An 18951-nucleotide genomic window follows, 5' to 3' on the forward strand; every position below is an offset into this window, starting at 1 on the left:
CCTCAGTCTTTATTCTTAGGGCCTTCAACAAATATGAGGAGGTATACCCCTATTATTTATGAAGGGCTATCTGCTTTCCTCAAAGTTTACTATTTTAAATGTTAGTCATATGTAAAAAATGCCTTTACAACAACATCTACACTGGCATTTGACAAACTACTGGCTACCATAGCCTTGCCAAGCTGACACGCTAAAGGTAACTATTGTGAGTGGTTATTCATTAAGGCTTTAATCAGTGTCATCAAATCAGGCATTAAAGTATTAGCAAACAGTTATTTCATCAGAAAGATGATTATTTGTCATTCTAGTATTTACTCTTTTTGCTGATTTATCATGTCTTCATTTTGTTTCAATAATGTTAATAATGTAGAACTTGTACATTAAAATATGTAGATATTTTAATATCATTCATCCAAGATTAAGCTATATTTAAAATCACAAGCTTTAATATATCGACAGCACTAAAAAGGGACAAAAATAAGAAACTCTTAATTCATGTCTTTGAAAAGGTAAAACACCATCTGAGAAAGACATTAGTCTTATTTATATGGATTAGAAAAAAATATTAGAAAATATATACAAAACAGTGCTATTAAATGTAAGCTAAGTCACGAAATACTCTATACCTCATCATAGTGGTGAGGCTCTGTCTAAATTCATTTACCAAAAAGTGCAAATTGATTTTCTATAATTTTGATATATTTACTATAATAGTTTTGAGAACTCTTTACTTTGGAACATGTGGCTATAATCCATGTTATAGAAAACCACATTTGTTAAGATGTATTTGTTCACTTAAAGCTTTTGTGAATGGTGCTATAGTATATGAATTTAATTCACTGTACTTGTGAACATTAATATCTTGACTATGATGACACTGAACTAACAAAAGTTAACTCATTCTAGTGGTGTGAAACTCCAGAGGTTCTTTAGAGCTAGAAACATACCTAAAAGCATTCCTAGTTCTTTTTTTAAAAAAAAATCATGTAAAATGGATTAGAGGGCCTAATGCTTAATTTAGGAACACAATGAGGAATCTCAATTATAAAAAATAATAGTAGATAACATTTAAAAACATTTTATGCGCATTTAAAGCATTTAGCCAGGCATTGTGCTAAGCATTATTCATGGCACATAAGTTATAGTATTTAACTCATAGTAAATCTGTAATAATTTGTATATCCTTCTTACAGATGAGCTACAATAGCAGAAATGATGTAGTGTGATAGTTTTACTTGAGTCTCTACTCTTAACCTTTGCATGTACTGCCTCAGTAATACAAAAGATGGGAGATGATGGTTGGGTGGATGGAGAATGAAGGATTGAAGGCAGCAGGGTAAAGAATAAAGAAATATTAGATGAGCAAAGTGGGAAATACTAAAATATTTCGGGGTTAAATCATGTTTAAGATCTGTTTTGGCTCCAGTTTTTCAATTATGGTGAAAATAAATTTTAATTATATTGATATCTAAGCATGATTTATCCAATACCTGAGATCTACTACAGCTTTATGCCACCACCCTAGACTTCAAGGATACAAAAAATATTCTATGTCCCCTTAAGGAAATGACAAAAACACTTCCACCCTGATATCTTAACCTTTTAGTATCTCAATTCAACTGAACTCCAAAGAGCTGAACTTGAAAATCCACCTCAAAACATGCTTCCTCCCATGAAGCTTTTTCTACCTTTTCTCTAACAAATCCCACTGGTTCAAATATATTTGTCAATTTCATCACACATTCCTGAAAGTTGACCCTTCATATTATTTCATGTTAATTTCTAGTTTGGATGCCATAGGAAGGTAGACATGAAAATAAAAACTCTAAAAAGACAAGACCAGGACTATGAAAAATCAGAAAGTAAGCTCATAGAGGAGAAATCACAGACATGACACTAAGAAGTTGAGGAAGTTTAGTCCAAGAAAGCTTCCTGGATACAGAGAGATCAAAACAAAGGGATATAGAGCAACGTGGCAGCTAGATGGAAGGGTTGGAAAGTAGCAGAACCAACATGTGTCCAAAGGCCCTAGCAGGAATTGTACATATGTAGCCTCATTTAAGTCTCCAAAGAAATATGTGTTATTACCATTCACATTTTCTAGATGTTGAAACAGAGACCAACAAATCTTAATAACATAAGGTCACCTCTCATAAATGATAGAATTATGCTCAAGTTTAGGTTTGTCTTACTGCAGATTTCATTCATTTCATTCATTCACTTATTCTATTTATTTCATTTACTCTTCTAAGTATGAGATTTTTAAACAGAATAGGTATTATTCATTTCGATCAGATGAGTTGATATATAAATGCATAAATAAAGGAAAAAATGAAGTTTATGAGTTCACAGCAGTCTAAGTTATTAATATAAAATCCTCTCTCAAATTATCCTAAATTCTGACTCTTCTAGGAGCCTGAAATATATTTCAAGATGGCAAGAACTGTATTCTAACTTTAGGTTGAATTTGGATTCTGCTTATTTGAGATAACACTTAGGTCTCAAGTGGAACAGCTAGCACAGTAGAAAGAACTTTTCTCAACACATTTCTTAAGTTATACTCTTTGATTTATCACACAAGGGATGGGGAAAAGCTAATCACTATTCAGACTTAAAAAATATATTTTTGTGGCTCCACGTTTGGATAGAGACCAAGAGAAGAAAATAAATTAAGTAGGAGAGCTAATTAAGAATGTAGCTATTGCAGTGATTTCAATATCTGGGCACTTGCCTTTAATAGTCTCCAGAAGTGCTATACCTTACAGTTAAATGGCCTTCCCAAGCAGGACCAGTGGATTTTCATGCCAGAGGAAACTTACTAGAAGCATACAAGACACACAAAAATAAGTGAAAACAAAAACCCAATTTCTATGTTAACTTAAGAGGATGATTTTAAAGTAGTTGGAATATTTCTGTTTTGGGGAGACACATTGGAAAAGAGAGGATCTAGAAAATATGAAACATAAACTGTATTCTAAGAAAGGAAGAGGCAGAGAGAGGAAAGAGGAGAGGAAGGGAGAAAATGAAAGGGGGAGAAGAGAGATAATTTCAGGAGTAACAACTTGCAGATTTCTAGCTGTAGCATAGGTCACTACTATATTAAAAAGCTTCAGCTAAGTTCTTGAAGATGGCTTTTGAAGACCTCATTTTTGGAAATGAATAGGCAGTTCATGAGTTAGAAAATCTAGAATCTCTTTAGTAATAAAGTTATGAAAAAATTTATGAGATTCTAGAAAGGCAACATGCTGCTCTTTAGACCTGTGTCCACAAATTGATTGGGAATAAAGTGAACTGACTTCTCCTGGAGGAGCAATTATGAGTGTGACAGAAACCCAGCCCATAATCTGGGTCAAGGGAGGTCCCTCATCCACAGAGGCTGAAAACTGCAGAGTCCACAGCCCCATGCTCAAAGCCCTGTCCTCTGGACAGGCTGATGAAAGGGTGTCCATAAGAGGGCACAGGATGGCTGCTAGGTTCTTTGCTGGCCAGGAGAAACATGGTAGACATTGGGTGAAGGAGGTCCCTGTGGCCACTCAATACCTGGGATGGGAGGAACTCACTTTGACAGATGGCGGGTATATTAGTCTGCTTGGGCTGCCATTACAAAGTACCACAAATTGAGTGACTTAGTAGGAATGTGTTGTCTTACAGTCCTGGAGGCTGGAAGGCTGAGATGAAGGTATTGGCAGGTGAGTCCTTCTGAGGGGTGTGAGGAAAGCATCTGTTCTAGGCCTCTTTCTAGGATACTTCTCCCCAGATGGCCATCTCCCTAAATGGTCCTGAATGGTTTTCTCCCTGTGTCTCTTCACGTTATCTTCCCTCTGTGTGGGACTGTCTCTGTGTCTGTATTTCCCCTTTTTATGTGGACACTAGTCATACGAATGAAATGGGCCCACTTTCACTTGCCTGTCTCTATAAAGGCTCTATCACCAAATAAGGTTATGTTCTGAGGTGCAGGGGGTTAGCACTTTAAAATACAAATCTCATGGGAGGACAAAATTCAACTCATATAACAGGAGACAGGCCATCGCTAAAAGTTAAAAAAAAAATGCATACTATAGAATTTCAATTAGATATTGTTTCCTGACTGCAGTTTTCCTTGTATTTAATAAGGAATTCTAACAAATTTTCTCCCAAGGAATGTTATATACCCTTGACCACTGGTATCGGGAGAAAACATCCTGGTATTCAGAGAGTACTTTGCAGTTTCATTAATTAGTTGTCTAATTAAAATAACATTGATTTGCCTCTGCAGATATGGCTGAATGTGTTTTATTCATGTACTTAAGAGAAACAGATCATTCATTTCTTATTTTAAGGATGAAGGTGGCTATTTCCATGGCCAAAAATCACCATGCAACCTGGCAGGGTCCCCTGCCACCTCCCATTTCCTGCCATCTCATGGTGACCAGATGCCATGCCCTTTATGTCTGTTTTCTAAGGAATCAGACAGCAAAATCTCATAGTTCATCAAATGATAATCATATATTTTCTGTTGTCAACAAGTAAAAGTAATAAAGTTCATGCTAAAAATACCTGTATTCATCTTTTTAATAAACATTACTGAAAGTCCATTGCCAGTCAATAATTGAGGAATAGACATTGTTCCTATCTTCCAGGTTCTTCCGGTCTGGTAAATTAAGATGGGGTATCGTACAAAGCTAGGGTGTCCTAAGGTAACAACAGACTAATAGCTCTGGAGGCCAGATATGTATGTATGGTTATTAAAAAGTTTTATTAGGGCCATTGTTGCAAGTCATCTTGGAATTGTTTGCCATTTGAGAACATTCAATTAAAAAGGCATTATAATGCTGAGATTTTAAAATGTAAATTAGAATCTGGAAAGTTTTCAATGATTTCTAGTCTAAAATTAAATAAAGCACCAAAAAAACGAATTAAATTTAGAACATTTTAAGAGAAATGAATAAAAATACTCAACTACTTTTGGAAACAAACGTAGAGGAGAGTCAACTTTATTCAACCAATAAATAGAAAAGCAATGCTATTTAATTGATGGAACAAAAAAAAAAACACTTCCTCAGTTTGAAATTATTCCCAGTTTAGAAGCCAAACCAAGAAAAGGAGTGCTTAAAATAAGTATAAAGAAAGGAAAAACATACAGAACGGAACAGAGATAAAGCAAAAAAAAAAAAAAAAAAAGATTAAAAAAAAGACAAATTAGAGAAGAAGGGTAAATGAAGAAGAAACACACCATAGGGACATGAAACTAAATCGTAAAGTTAGGAGGTTGTTGATCACTGATTTATGAAAAGCTGACTGGTTCCATGAAGATTTAAAATAGTGCTCTCAATATTGTGTTGCAGGTGCTATGGTTTTATTTTGAAATAAGTATAGTGTTTGAAATTCCAAATTTCTCATTTAATCCTGAACATTTTGCTATTATGCCAAAGAATGACTTGAAGCACAAAAACGTATTTAAAACTATTTCCAGCAGTGGTTCTCAAATCTGATACCTCAGCATCACCTGGCAAGGGTTTGCTTTGTTATTTCAGCAGAGATTTACTAACCAGCTGGCAGTACTCTGGATATTTATGTTTCAGTATCTCTATTTATCTATTTATATTATCCCAGTTCATTCTCACAATCACACAATGAGCAAAGCGAGGCAGTGCTGAAAAGGGCAGCATCAGAGTTTGCCCGCAAAGTGTTCTGACAGCAAAATGCATGCTGAGCTTCTACATTTCATTGTCCCACAATTGCAATGGCAGGCCCCCACCCTAGAACTACCCTCTGGGCTGGTGGGATTCTGACATCTACATTTTGAACAGCATTTCTTAAAATCATCAAGGTTGAAGATTCTAAGTGGTCAAATACACTGCATTCCACAATGACCTGAGATTACCTTCTTTGTCCCTTGATTTAAATCCCAAGTCTTTAAAAATAAATCAAATCCTGGAATGAGGGTAGGTGAAAAAGTTAATATCAAGGAAAATAATGAAAAAGAAAGAAGGAACTCTGTGTATAACACTTCCCCAGGAATAAGTAGTCTCAACTACATCCTAAAGCTCTTTAACCACCTTCATGAAAGCCTCAATCCACTTGGAATGGGACAGAAATTGCAAAGGAATACTCTCTGGGCACCAGCAATATTGCCACAACCAAATCTTAACATCATAGGATTTCAGCACTGAAATGGAAAGTGAACAAAGAAAGGTAAGCAGTTTACAGTACTAGTAAGGAAGAAAAGCAAAAGGTTTTTCAAACATTGGGGCTCTCTCCAGTTGTTACCAAGAGATACTGGGATATTTTACCTCTACCATGTCTGTGCCTCTAATCATCCACCCACCACAGAGCTCAGCCAACCAAGAAGGGCTAAGGGTCCTGTCTAGGACTCTTCACTTGATTTTACTTTCTTTTCTTTCAAGAGTGCACAAGCCAGGCACGGCGCAATGGCTCATGTCTATAATCCCAGCACTTTGGTAGGCCAAGGCAGGTGGATCATCTGAGGTCAGGAATTTGAGACCAGCCTGGTCAACATGGTGAAACCCTGTCTCTCCTAAAAATACAAAAATTAGCCAGGTATGGTGGCGGGAACCTGTAATCCCAGCTACTAGGGAGGCTGAAGCAGGAGAATTGCTTGAACCCGGGAGGCAGGGGTTGTGTGAGCCAAGATCGCAGCATTGCACTCCAGCCTGGGCAACAGGAGTGAAACTACATCTCAAAAAAAAAAAAAAAAAAAAAGAAGTGCGCAATCCTAGTACACAGAGGAACCTCAAATATCCTCTACTTCTAGCGCTCTGAAAATACAGAAACACCTTGCAATAAACTCCCCCTTTTGCTTCCTTTTTTCCTACTCTCCTATCCACATCTTCCTTGTCCATATCTGTTTGTTTGTTTGTTTTCCCTTCAGGAATAAAGGGAGTTCATGAACAGAAATCTCACCCAATCCTATGATACCTTCCAGAGGTTAGATGAAGAAATGCTGAGTAAATATGGAGTTCCCTTCTGTATGCTGTTTTGTCATTTCTTCGATCTCCAGCAAAGACTTTAAACAGAAGGAAAGGAGGGAGACAGTGGTGACATCCAAAATAAGGTTGAGGCCAGACTTCTTCAAAGTGATATGGGAAGGGGGCAGGGAAGTGCTGGGTAGGGCCTGTGCCCTCAGACCAAAGTGAGGACAGGCACTCCTGTTTTCATGCCCAAATGTTGCATTTTCCAAGACCACCCTGGCTCACAATGTCCCCATCCTCTGCCTATAAAAACCCCGAGAACCTAGTGGGCAAATACACAGGCGGCTGGACGTCAAGCGGAACACACCAGCAGAACACACTGACAAATGCTGGCAGGCCATCAGCTGTGGAACACCAAGGGAAATTTGGCTGAGGGTTGTCAGAGGAGAGCCAAGCCTCTGAGCCACCCGACTCCAGGGCAAAACCACCTTCCCACTCCATCCCCCTTCTAGCTCCCCACCCATCTGTTGAGAGCTGCTTACACCATTCAATAAAACCTTGCACTAATCCTCCAAGCCCACATGTGATCTGATTTTTCTGGTACACTAGGACAAGAACCCTAAGATACAGAAAGTCTTTTGTCCTTGTGATAAGGCAGAGGGTCTAATTGAGCTGATTAACACAAGCCAGCTGCAGATAGCTAAGCTGAAAGAGTTGACTATAACATATGCCCACTGGGGCTTTGGGAGCTGTAAACACTCAACCCTAGATGCTGCCATGGGGTCCAAGCCCACACTCCCCATGACCTGCTGGTCTGCATGCTCCCTGCTAGGGGTTTGAGCTGTGGGGCACAGAAGAAGCGAGCCACACCCTATTACATGCCCTGCGAGGGGCATAAAGGAACTTTCCTCATTTCAAAAATGGCAGAGAAGGAAGGGTGCTCACACACATGTCTTCTAGCATGTTCTCTTTTCCCCTTATCTCGCTTTTTTCCACTAGGCTAGGATTTGATTCCAGCTAGATAAAGGCCAGCCCATGGTTTGTATCTGATCCACTGTTGAGGCTTCCTACTTCTGAGTGAAAAAGCTTCCAAATCTATTAATAGATATAGCCAACTTTCACTCAGCTGCCAAATCAAAGAATGAACAAAGGCAAAATAGTTACCATTTAGATAGGCTTCTGAGACGCTTGATTTCATATAAGACATCTGCATGCCTAACTTCCCTTTTCATTCTATCAACGTCTATCTATGGAGTGCCTACTATATGCTAGGGACTGTTTCTGTGCTACAGGCATATTCATCATGCCATTCATTTGATTTCTAACTGAAGGCCCTTTTTCTTCTGCCTCCCAATTTCAGCTGTCATCACCTGTCAAAATCACTATTTGCTCTGGTATTTATGGTGAAAGGAGTCATTACTAGTCATCATGAGACCATCTGTACAATGTCACTGGGTAGTGACATGGCCTCTGTTCAGACTCTAAGATGTTCCATCTTGCAGGATGGATATTAATGCCACTAAATCCATCTTCAGCATTCTTGAATGAGAGCATTTGCAATAGCTATTACATCTTTGCAATAGCATGAAGACAGAAGACAGCATATTATTATCAAAGACTGCACATTACAATCAAATTATAATACTACAAGCAGAAAATAGATTACCTTTCCTCTATTTTTAATGTACTTTATAAACTTGGACAGACAAGCCGTGTCCAGAGGGGGTTATGGTGGTCAGGCATGTAGCATGATTTCACAGGGCTATGAGGATCTCCTGTGGGCTCCTGGCTAGATGTTAACCTTTTAATTTAAGGGAGTAACTTCCAAAAATGGTGGTACATGAGAACCACGAATGAGGCAGCCTTAGGAGGAATTTAATCATCTGTTTTTTTATTTAAGTAATTAATTATTTTTTGGTTTATTTGTATGTCCTAAAATGACCCATTGTTCATTCTGTTGCATATTCAGAAGTTAGACAACACTGATTTAAGCATTTGCCCAGCATATAAAAACCAACTCAAATTCTGCTGGCTTATAAAGTATTTGAAGTCAGAGGAGATCATTTCAAGCCACTACATGATGTAGGCAGCTCATAAATATAAGTGAGGTGGTTCAGTGGATTTGTGATTTGTTTGATGATTGATGCTTCATATTCTAATCCATCATCACAGACATGATGTATTTTCTTATTAAACATGAAAGAATATTTGTCAAGTGCACGAGAATATAGTTTTCAGAAATTTTCTTGAAACCCAAAGCTTCTTAATTCATCTCACATTCTCTCACTTATGATAGAGACATTAACCAACACAACAAAATAATAGTGCAGGCTTGATGCGTAGTCACAACTGAAATTTGGCTGTAGAGCTGGGAGACAAGAGGGGTGGTTAGAGTTGTGGGGATGATAAGAAGCATGTCCCACATCCGTGGAGCAACTCTTCTTCAGTTCCAGCCAACTGTGAGTGAGAAAACCCAGGATCACCAGACTTTCAGAATTTTTAAAAAAGAAATCACAAATCCAAATTTTTGTGAATTTTTGATTGTTGAATATTAGCAACTAATTTATAGTTGAATAAAATGCCCGGGGGGGCCTGCACTTGTGAGATGAATGAACCTATGTGGGCTGGATTTGACAGAGGACCTGTGAGTTTATGGTCTATTATTTCAACTGGTACCATTCACCAGCCCATTAGTGCAGGGAAGGCAGGATATGCATGGGGAGGAGAAGGGCACTATTGCAAAGCGGGGAGGGAAGTCATAAGGGTAAGCCCTGATAAACACATTTGCTGACTTTGTTAATTTGATTATTTCCAGTTAACAAAAAGTTACCCTTAGTTGTGATAGGATGGTTATCTTCAAAAAGTTCCTTGGAAAATGAGGATTTGAGAAAGAAATGGTCTTCACAGCATCTTGTGGGCTAGGACTTTTCTCGCAGCTGCCAAGAGCCTATAGACAGAAATTTAGATATTTAGAAGATCACAAGATAAAGTTGTTAAAAGTAGCTGTTTGATGTGGAGGAAGCTTCTTTGTCATTTTTTTTTTTTTACTTATGCAAGTTTTATCTAGTGAGTTCTAAAGAAAATTCCAATTAAACATACATTTACATTAAGAAAAAGTTGATACTTTCAGTATCTGTTGTATAATTACCTTTTTATTAAATAGATTTGCAATTCCATGACATTAGCCATGGCTTTATACTTCTTGAGCCCCTGACATCACATATTTGGACTTTGGCATATATTCTGTCAGGGAATTTGTCTTGAATTTTTAGAAAACATATATCCAAAGAACATAATAAAGCTATCAGACATTTTCTTATTTTGTTTTCTGTTTTGATTTGGGATTAAACAGCAGCAAAGACAAGAAAAACACCAACAACACATACAGCAAAGTAATTACTAAAAGTGAGGCTGGAGCTCCAGAGAGACACATTGTCCTGACAGGTGTCCGAGGGAGACCTGGTGTTCCATGTAAGTCCCTGATGTCTTAGAGAGACTGTCATGAGCACATGCTCAGACATCTTGGGCAGGGCATGTTAGGCAGAGGCAGAGACAGATGTAACCTAATGAAGGGTAAGCTTGAGGGTACTTCTCTTGCCTGACATTTTCCAAAGCTCTGTTATCACTCCTGGGGAGACTGGGAGGAACCCGCTGCTCCAGCTATGCTGCTGTGGCCTAGGAGTCCCTCGTGGCATCCTCAGGCTGTGGGTGTATCCGGAGAGCTGCCTGCACTACTTCTAATATATCTAGTCCCCAGGGTCAACCTTATAAACCTTAGAAAGTTTTCCTTTTTTTTTTTTTTTTTTTTTTTTGAAACAGAGTCTCACTCTGTCGCCCAGGCTGGAGTGCAGTGGCGCCATCTCGGCTCACTGCAAGCTCTGTCTCCGGGGTTCACGCCATTCTCCAGCCTCAGCCTCCCGAGTAGCTGGGACTACAGGCGCCCGCCACCACATCCAGCTAATTTTTTGTATTTTTAGTAAAGACAGGGTTTCACCGTGTTAGCCAGGATGGTCTCTATCTCCTGACATTGTGATCCGCCCGCCTCGGCCTCCCAAAGTGTTGGGATTACAGGCGTGAGCCACAGCCCCCGGCCCATAGTTTTCCTTTTAAGAAGAAGGATTGGAACGAGGATACTGCTCTGCCACAAACTAGAAGACCCCTACAACCCTGGATCCACAGCTGTTTGCAGCCGATCCTCATGCAAATTGCCAACAGATACAGGTGGGAGGTGAACCAGGGACATCTGGACAAGAGGCGCACAATCTCAGGCTTGAAGCACTGCTGAAATGAAATGACAGAGGGTGTTACAGCTGTGGCGTTGCTCACAACAAATGGCAATGTTAAAAAAAAAAAACTTTTCTGTGTCATAAAAAATAATTCAAGTATTTTTGATGTACTATTTCTAAAAGAAACACCAAGTTTTACTTCCATTTGTTCTACAGAAAATCATGTGGACAAAACCATTGTCATGTGTAGAGATGATCAAAGACCGACTATGCAACCAAAAAATGTAGAAAAAGATTATAGATGAGGATGATGATAAAGGTATATTATTGTCTTGATTTTGTGACATCTTGGGTTTTGTTAACTATGGAAGTTTTTATTCTAAGTTAATATCCATGTTTATATCTATTATTATATTCCTAATATTGTGTTTTTAATGAGGATCTCCAAATTATACTTTTCAACACCACAAAACCTAAATCCACCTCTTTAAAGAGGGCTGGGACAGAGTCACGAAAAACATAGAAGCTGGTGTTACCCCGCAAATGCTCAGAAGGCAGTCAACATTTTGAGGTGGGGGTTTAGAGGTGTTGTAGACAGGTAGGCTCCAGAACACTTACAAATATGAATGCATCATACAAAAGTCATCAAATAAGTTTATTTGAAAGCATTTTGATTTGCTTTTAGGATGGAGTCCTGAGCATCCTTCTGCTATTGTGACTACTCTGACTTGTTTCCTACCTCATCTCAGCAGTGTCTTCTACTTTCCTTTTTTTCACATGGGTCCTTATTGTTGTATTTGTATTTATTTATTTTTTGCTTTTGTTTTGATTTCTTTTTTCTAAATACTAATTTTTTAAAAAAATTTGTTCAAGATGATATCTATGTCTAGTTATCTCTCAATTCCTTTGGCTTACTTTTATATAGGCCCTCGAGACTGGACTTACAAGCACTGATTATAGTAAATAACAGATGGCAAACTATTTTGGAGAGTGTGAACAATAAGATTTCTGCCTCTAGGCCACTGACAAAAAAAGATGAATACATTGCTATCCCCACCCAAGACAGAAAGAATTTCCCAGCCAAAACAGGAGCAGATGTATAAATCATGGGCAGAGAAAATAAGAGGGGTTTTCCTGGACATAATGGAGTAGGGACTAATCACATACTGTCATAGCATTTGTAACATAAATGCATTTCATTGACGCAGAGCTGTAAAAACAAAAGGAGTTCTTCCATAAATATAAGATGAAGGGTGTTAGTTAACTGCAATGACAAAGAAGATTACTAAGTTGCTTATATGAAATGTGGGAGCTTAAATGTGTGAAGGATGACCCTGTAAGGTGCCACACCCACGGCTGAACGTATATAAATGGTCCTGTCCAGATGTGGCATGCAAACTCAGAATCTTCTCAGTGTAACTCAGCTGAACTCACATCTCCCATCAACATGTCCTACAACTGCTGCTCTGGAAACTTCTCCTCCCGCTCCTGTGGTGGCTACCTGCACTACCCAGCCTCCTCCTGTGGCTTTTCCTACCCCAGCAACCAGGTCTACAGCACTGACCTCTGCTCTCCCAGCACGTGCCAGCTGGGTTCCTCTCTCTATAGGGGCTGTCAGCAGACCTGCTGGGAGCCCACCAGCTGCCAGACATCCTATGTGGAGTCCAGCCCCTGCCAGACCTCCTGCTACCGTCCCAGAACCTCCTTGCTCTGCAGTCCCTGCCAGACAACTTACTCTGGGTCTCTAGGCTTTGGATCCAGCAGCTGCCGCTCCCTGGGCTATGGATCGAGGAGCTGCTACTCAGTGGGCTGTGGGTCCAGTGGCTTCAGATCCCTGGGTTATGGAGGCTGTGGCTTCCCTTCCCTGGGCTATGGCGTTGGATTCTGCCGCCCAACCTACTTGGCTTCTAGGAGCTGCCAGTCTTCTTGCTACAGACCAACTTGTGGATCAGGCTTCTACTATTGATCATCTTGTTAAATTGCTGATTTTGTTGGCTAATGCCTTCAATGCCTCTACTCATAACCTTTATTGTCTTCATCATGTACAGAAAGAATTAGCCTCTTATTCTATAATTATCAAGTTCTCAGTTTGTCTTTGTCCCCAAATACTGGCTGGCAGGCTTCATCTGAAAAACTGTAATTGGAGAACTAGCTCAAAATAAATCTTGAAATACACATTAAAAGTAGAATTTATATTATTCGATTTTCTTCCACAATTGTATAAAAAGTCAAATCATTTTAATCCAATAAATCCATTGGTCTCATATTCAGCTATGTTTGTGGTGGTTTTATATTGCTAGGGTTTTGGTTGTGATGTATTAGGCAATTATTATGAAACAATTGGTGTATATATATAGGAATAGGTTTCAAAATCATATGAAGTTTGCGATTCAGACAAACTTTTGGGGGCCTCAGAGATTTTTGTTATTCAAACTACAGGTAGTGGAAGTCTACTAAATTTACAGACTTTTATTCATTAAAATATCAGAATCAGGAATTAGCTTGATCCCCTTATAAAATGTGGATTCTTGTGTCTATGCCAACAAGCATAAGGTAGCAAACTAGTTGATAGTTATATCAGGAATCTGCAGAGAAAAAAATACTATTTAGAACAATATGGTTATAGATATACATAAAAGAAAAATGGAATTGAAGAGAAACAAAAGTGATTTGAAGTAACTTTTGAAGTCACCCAATATTTGTTGGTAATCATGATCAAATGCCTGCATCTCATTGATGAGAATTCAATATGATTCAGTTATCTACATATGTGTAATAAGGGATACCATGAAACTTGAATGGAGGATTGATATTCCACCTTGGTTTGTATTCATGTTTCACACTAAGTAAAGCTGAAGATAATAACCTTTTGATATCATCAGAAGTGATAATTTAATTCACATCTGAGCATAAAATTAGGGAAATGTTATTTCTCTTTTTTGTGGTAGCATTCTTTGTTTTCTCAGGCAAAGCAGTTCCAGAAACAGGTGTGAAGATAAATAGATTTCAATAAGGAACCTAAAGTTGAGAAGAAAAAAAGAGCTCAAACAACGTTCAATAACTATTCCCATGCATTATTCCTTTAGACAACAGCTGTTAGAGAAAGAGATCCATTATACATGTAAATGATGTTAAATGTAAAAATATGGAGACACAAAGATGATAAGGAATGTACAGGGAAACTTATTGTACGATATCTTGAAGGAGCTGCAAATTTTTGACTTGCAAAGACAGAAATATCGGAGGGGAGAAGTCTGGGAAGATTACACGCAATAAGCAAAGCAGAAGGGGCTGAAAGTCTTTGTGTATTCAAGGAATTATTGGAAATTTAGCTCAGTTACAATGCAAAGTGATTTAATATGGTGTGGTAATGACAAACATGTTCATTCAAACTACTAACACAGTCTTGAGATAGGGCACTTTTTTTTTTTTTTTTTTTTTTTTTTTTTGGGACAGAGTCTTGCTCTGTCACCCAGGCTGGAGTGCAGTGGCGCAATCTCTGCTCACTGCAACCTCTGCCTCCTGGGTTCAAGCGAGTTTCATGCTTCAGTCTCCCTAGTAGCCGGGATTACAGGTGCCCACCACCACGCCTGGCTAATTTTTTTGTACTTTTAGTAGAGACGGGGTTTTGCCATGTTGGCCAGAGTGGTCTCCAACTCCTGACCTCAGGTGATCCGCTCGCCTCGGCCTCCCAAAGTGCTGAGATTACAGGCATGAGCCCCACACCCGGCCGAGATTGGGCACTTTTATTCCATTTTCTCTTCTATTCTAATCACTTATGTACTTTTAAAAAGAAATCTTTTATCCAATGATTAGGTATAAATTATTAGGTTCATACCTAAGGTTAAATAAGTTAAAATCAAATGCTTACAAATGAAAAAACAATTTATAATTAATGTCTTTTGTTTAGAAAATCTAGACAAGGAAAATACATGTGAAAATATTCAGAAATTATGAGTGTCAACATCTAAGAAAGGTCTTGATATATAAACATACATGTGAAAATATTTAGAAATTACCAGGGCCAAAATCTAAGAAAGGTGTTGATAAATAAACAAGCAGAAAGCCATGGAATTCATGACTACTTTTAGAATAGGAATGTTGTCAAATCCAAAAGAGAGGCTGAAGTTCAGCTCCAAATCATTTCAGTGCTTAAGTTAAGAGGATATAGGAATACCAGGGTTCTTGTTCTATCCTTCCAAAATCAAATTTAAATTCTTCCAGGAGGAGGATAACATCACAGTGAGCTCTAAATTATTTCTTTATATAGATAAATTTAGATACAAATGTAAATATAGATACCTATTTATATATAGATATAGATACCATTGCAGATATAGTTATATCTAGATACACATGAAGACGCAGATATAGTCTAGTACCCAACAAAAATTTACCAGGCTTCAGAAGTTAAGAAATTATTAAATCCAAAATATAGATATATGTAGCAGAATTAGGCTTACAAGAGCTTCAGTAAATGAAAATATTAGACATAAATGTTAAATAACTACACTTGACATGCTTAGGGAATAAAAAGATAGATGAAAAATTTTGGCAGAGTACTGAAGTATATTAAAAGAACCAAAAACAGATTTTAAAATTAAAAAATGTGATAAATTAAAATATTGAATTGGTGAACGGATTAAAACAAAATTAAACATGGCTAAAGAGATAATTAGTTATTGTTCACTAGAATATATACAAACAAAAAAAATAAAGAAAAATTATTAAAATATTTAAAGGAGTTTCAGAGACTATGGAACATGTGAAACAGTCTAACATAGTTGCTGCTAGAGTCCTAAAACAAAATTATGTGTCTCTCTGTGTGTGTGTGTGTGTGTACATATGGCTAGAAATAAGTCCACATATCACTAAATCTAAGAGAAGTCATATGTAATAAAAACAGATTCACAGGGGATCCAAAGATAATTTTTGAATAGAGGAAATATCAAATCCATATATTCAAGAACTACTAAAAATCCCATGCATGATAAATATGAAGACAAGCCCATAACTAGGCATATTGGAATCTCACTGAGGAACAGGAAAGAAAAAGAGAAAAACTTAAAGCAGCCAGAGGTGGGAAAAAAATTTAAAAAGAAATTTACCTTCATCAAAGCAACTGGGATTAAAAGCTAAATTTTAAACAGAAAAGAAAAAATATAAGAAAACAAATACATGTCCTCAAATATTAAAAAAATTCAAAAGTAGAGTAATATGACCAATAAATGTCTGTTTTAAAAATGGAAGAGAAATGGAGGATGTACAAAAGCACCTTTTATGTTTAGGCAATGTTTGGACAGTTAATTTACAATAAACAGAGAATAACTAGGGCTAGACCTTTATAATGGTTATTCATTACTCCATCATTTTGAAACTCATCATTTTGAGTGTTTAGTGACAATAATCCTAGGTTTCACCTCCACTTATTCATTTTACTGGAACAAATTTATGATTGATAATTCTCTTTCCAGGTTTTCTGCTTATTCTAAGTAATTTTGCATATATAATAAAATAAACCTTTTTACCCATCACTATTATATACCGAAATTTAATATGATATTATTTAGATAATATAACTTTTGGCAGCAGCAAATCTTGGTAGCTCAAATCAACCCTATCAATAAGATCCCTAGTAAAACTGAATAAAACAATCCTCATATAAACTCTAGAGCACACTCAGGCTAAGAACTGCTGGAACAAAATTAGGAGATGGTTTAAATCAAAGGAAGTGTTGACAGTTAAGCTGCTTTCTTCCCAGAATTGTTCATTGATTTAAAAAAAAAAGGATATTAATGGGCTCATGGCTTGAATGACCACAAGCAATCAGACTACAGGACCTTCTAAGGACCTGGGAACACACGTGAACATGCTAAGTTTTTGGTAAGGATCTTAAATAGTCTATCAGAATTTTTAAGAGCAAGCATATATAGAATATGTTTCATAGAAACTGAAGCCAACCTTTGAACTGCATTGATCTTGGTGATATGGGAGTGTTAGTAACATTATCCCAGCATGCTATATCCAAAGTAAATTTGTCTGCAAATAAAACCACTCAAACTCTCAAATTGCCTATGGTAATTAATTAAAAATGACCAATTCTATAAAAAAGCAAGATATGACCAAGCCAAGAGACAATACAGAGTGCAAATAAATCCACAAGAGATGAAGGTATTAGAATATACAGAAAAACAATTGTGGTTATTATTGTTCTTAAAAAATTTAAGACAAATTTAAGAATTTTGACAGAATACCATTATCTATATAACTAAACACAAAAATATTAAAAATATAAAATACAATAATTAGAATGAACAAATCTAAAACAATTCCAATGGCAAACTAAAATACTAAACACTCTGAAACTATAGACCAACCTCCCCACTAGATGAAATATAGACTATAATAAAGAGCACTGATCAGAGAGTGGCAGGATCTGGTTGCAGTTTAGACAAATTGGAAGTGGAATCAAGCTGATTGAATTTGGTAACGGTGCTTGTTTAACTCAATTAATTGAGGAATTTTACTGAGAAGCTCTTTACCTTTCTAAAATGCACAAGGAAGGGATTATATTCTCTGGAAAATGATAAAAATATTTGCAGATGTATATTTGTGTGTATGTATGCATGCACACACAAATGTATGGGTGTATAAATAGTAATATTTATATGCCACAAGCCACAGCTTTTCTATGCCTATAATGCAATAAAACATTACAAGATACTTGAAAAGGCATGTAAATGTTAGCCAAAGGAAAACATTTAATAGAAGAAAATTCACATTTAATAAAAACACTAGAATTACCAAGCATTGACTGTAAAATGACTATGATATTTGAATGATTTAAGAAAATATTAAGATAATTGATAAACTTTAAGATATGAAAATAATAAAAAGTAATCCAATGAATATCCCCAAACAGAAAGATAAAAGTTTTAAATAAAATGTATCGGATAGAATGAAGAAAATATTTGACAAGACAGTAACAAAGATAAATAAACTTGAAAATAAATTTTTTAGAAAAGATTATCTAAGTACACAAAGAAATTGAGAATGAAAAATGAGACAGAGTAAGTTATTAAAGACTTGCTGAAAAACATTAAGCAATTTAAAAATTATGTAACAGAAGTCCCAGCAGAAGTGGGCCAGAAAAAAGCATAGAAAAGCTATTAGTCAAAATGTTGCGTTTTTGACAAAAATACCACAACAGCGAGCAAGCAACAACAACAAAAATCCCTTCAACCCCCAGATCCAAGGATCTTGGGATTTTGAAATCAGAATAAAGATAAAGAAATTCAGACTTAGGCATACAATAATTAATTCATGAAAATGAAATAAAGAGAAGTTCTTAAAAGTAGCCAGAATTTTATAAACTACACATTTTTTAGAGAAATAGCAATAAGAATTATAGCTAATTTACAGCATAAATATTGAAAGTTAGAAAAAAATGGAATGATAGCTTTGAAAGGCTGAAAAAGAAAAATAATCAACCTAGAATTTGATGACAGTTAAATATATCCTTCAAAAATGAAGGAAAAAAACCCATAAATTTTAAATCTGCACAAATTATTGATAAAATAAGTAATTTGACCAAGGCTGATTGGTAATAAATTGATCAGCAATTTTTAGAAGAAGTGGGTAAAGCTGCAAAAATAAGTTGTATAGTCTCTGGACAGCACCCCTCAGATCTGAAATAATTCAATCTACACATCAGGGATGCAAATCCACAAACCAGAAAATGGCAAGCCAATATTTTCACAATGAAAAGCACACAAATTTTGAAATTTTCTATTTTCACAATGTTGACAAATAAT

General features: G+C 36.7%; 1 protein-coding gene and 1 long non-coding RNA gene across 2 annotated transcripts in view, besides 1 other annotated feature; one reads left to right on the forward strand and one right to left on the reverse strand.

Annotated features, from left to right (window-relative positions):
• Window positions 1-9713: 9713 nt before the first annotated feature.
• Window positions 9714-18951, reverse strand: part of LOC105372772 (uncharacterized) — an 82493-nt gene continuing 73255 nt past the window's right edge. The window contains exon 4 of the long non-coding RNA XR_937653.3: window positions 9714-9858. This is a non-coding gene — a long non-coding RNA (uncharacterized LOC105372772). The remainder of the gene's footprint in view (window positions 9859-18951) is intronic.
• Window positions 12385-12886: an enhancer, noted in NCBI's record as "H3K27ac hESC enhancer chr21:31768205-31768706 (GRCh37/hg19 assembly coordinates)". NCBI's record gives its function as "activates a minimal SCP1, AML or CMV promoter by ChIP-STARR-seq in naive H9 embryonic stem cells {active_cell/tissue: H9 hESC(naive)}" and the evidence as "EXISTENCE:reporter gene assay evidence [ECO:0000049][PMID:30033119]".
• On the forward strand, window positions 12529-13320 carry KRTAP13-1 (keratin associated protein 13-1). Its single transcript, NM_181599.3, has one exon. The coding sequence runs from the start codon at window positions 12585-12587 to the stop codon at window positions 13101-13103; it is 519 nt and encodes a 172-aa protein (NP_853630.2). The 5' UTR covers window positions 12529-12584; the 3' UTR covers window positions 13104-13320.

This window comes from Homo sapiens, chromosome 21 (genome assembly GCF_000001405.40).
Source record: "Homo sapiens chromosome 21, GRCh38.p14 Primary Assembly".
NCBI lineage: Eukaryota > Metazoa > Chordata > Mammalia > Primates > Hominidae > Homo > Homo sapiens.

Bases quoted from the DNA above. Each gene is read 5' to 3' on its own strand.
- KRTAP13-1 (NM_181599.3), top strand. From the start codon at position 12,585: ATGTCCTACAACTGCTGCTCTGGAAACTTCTCCTCCCGCTCCTGTGGT.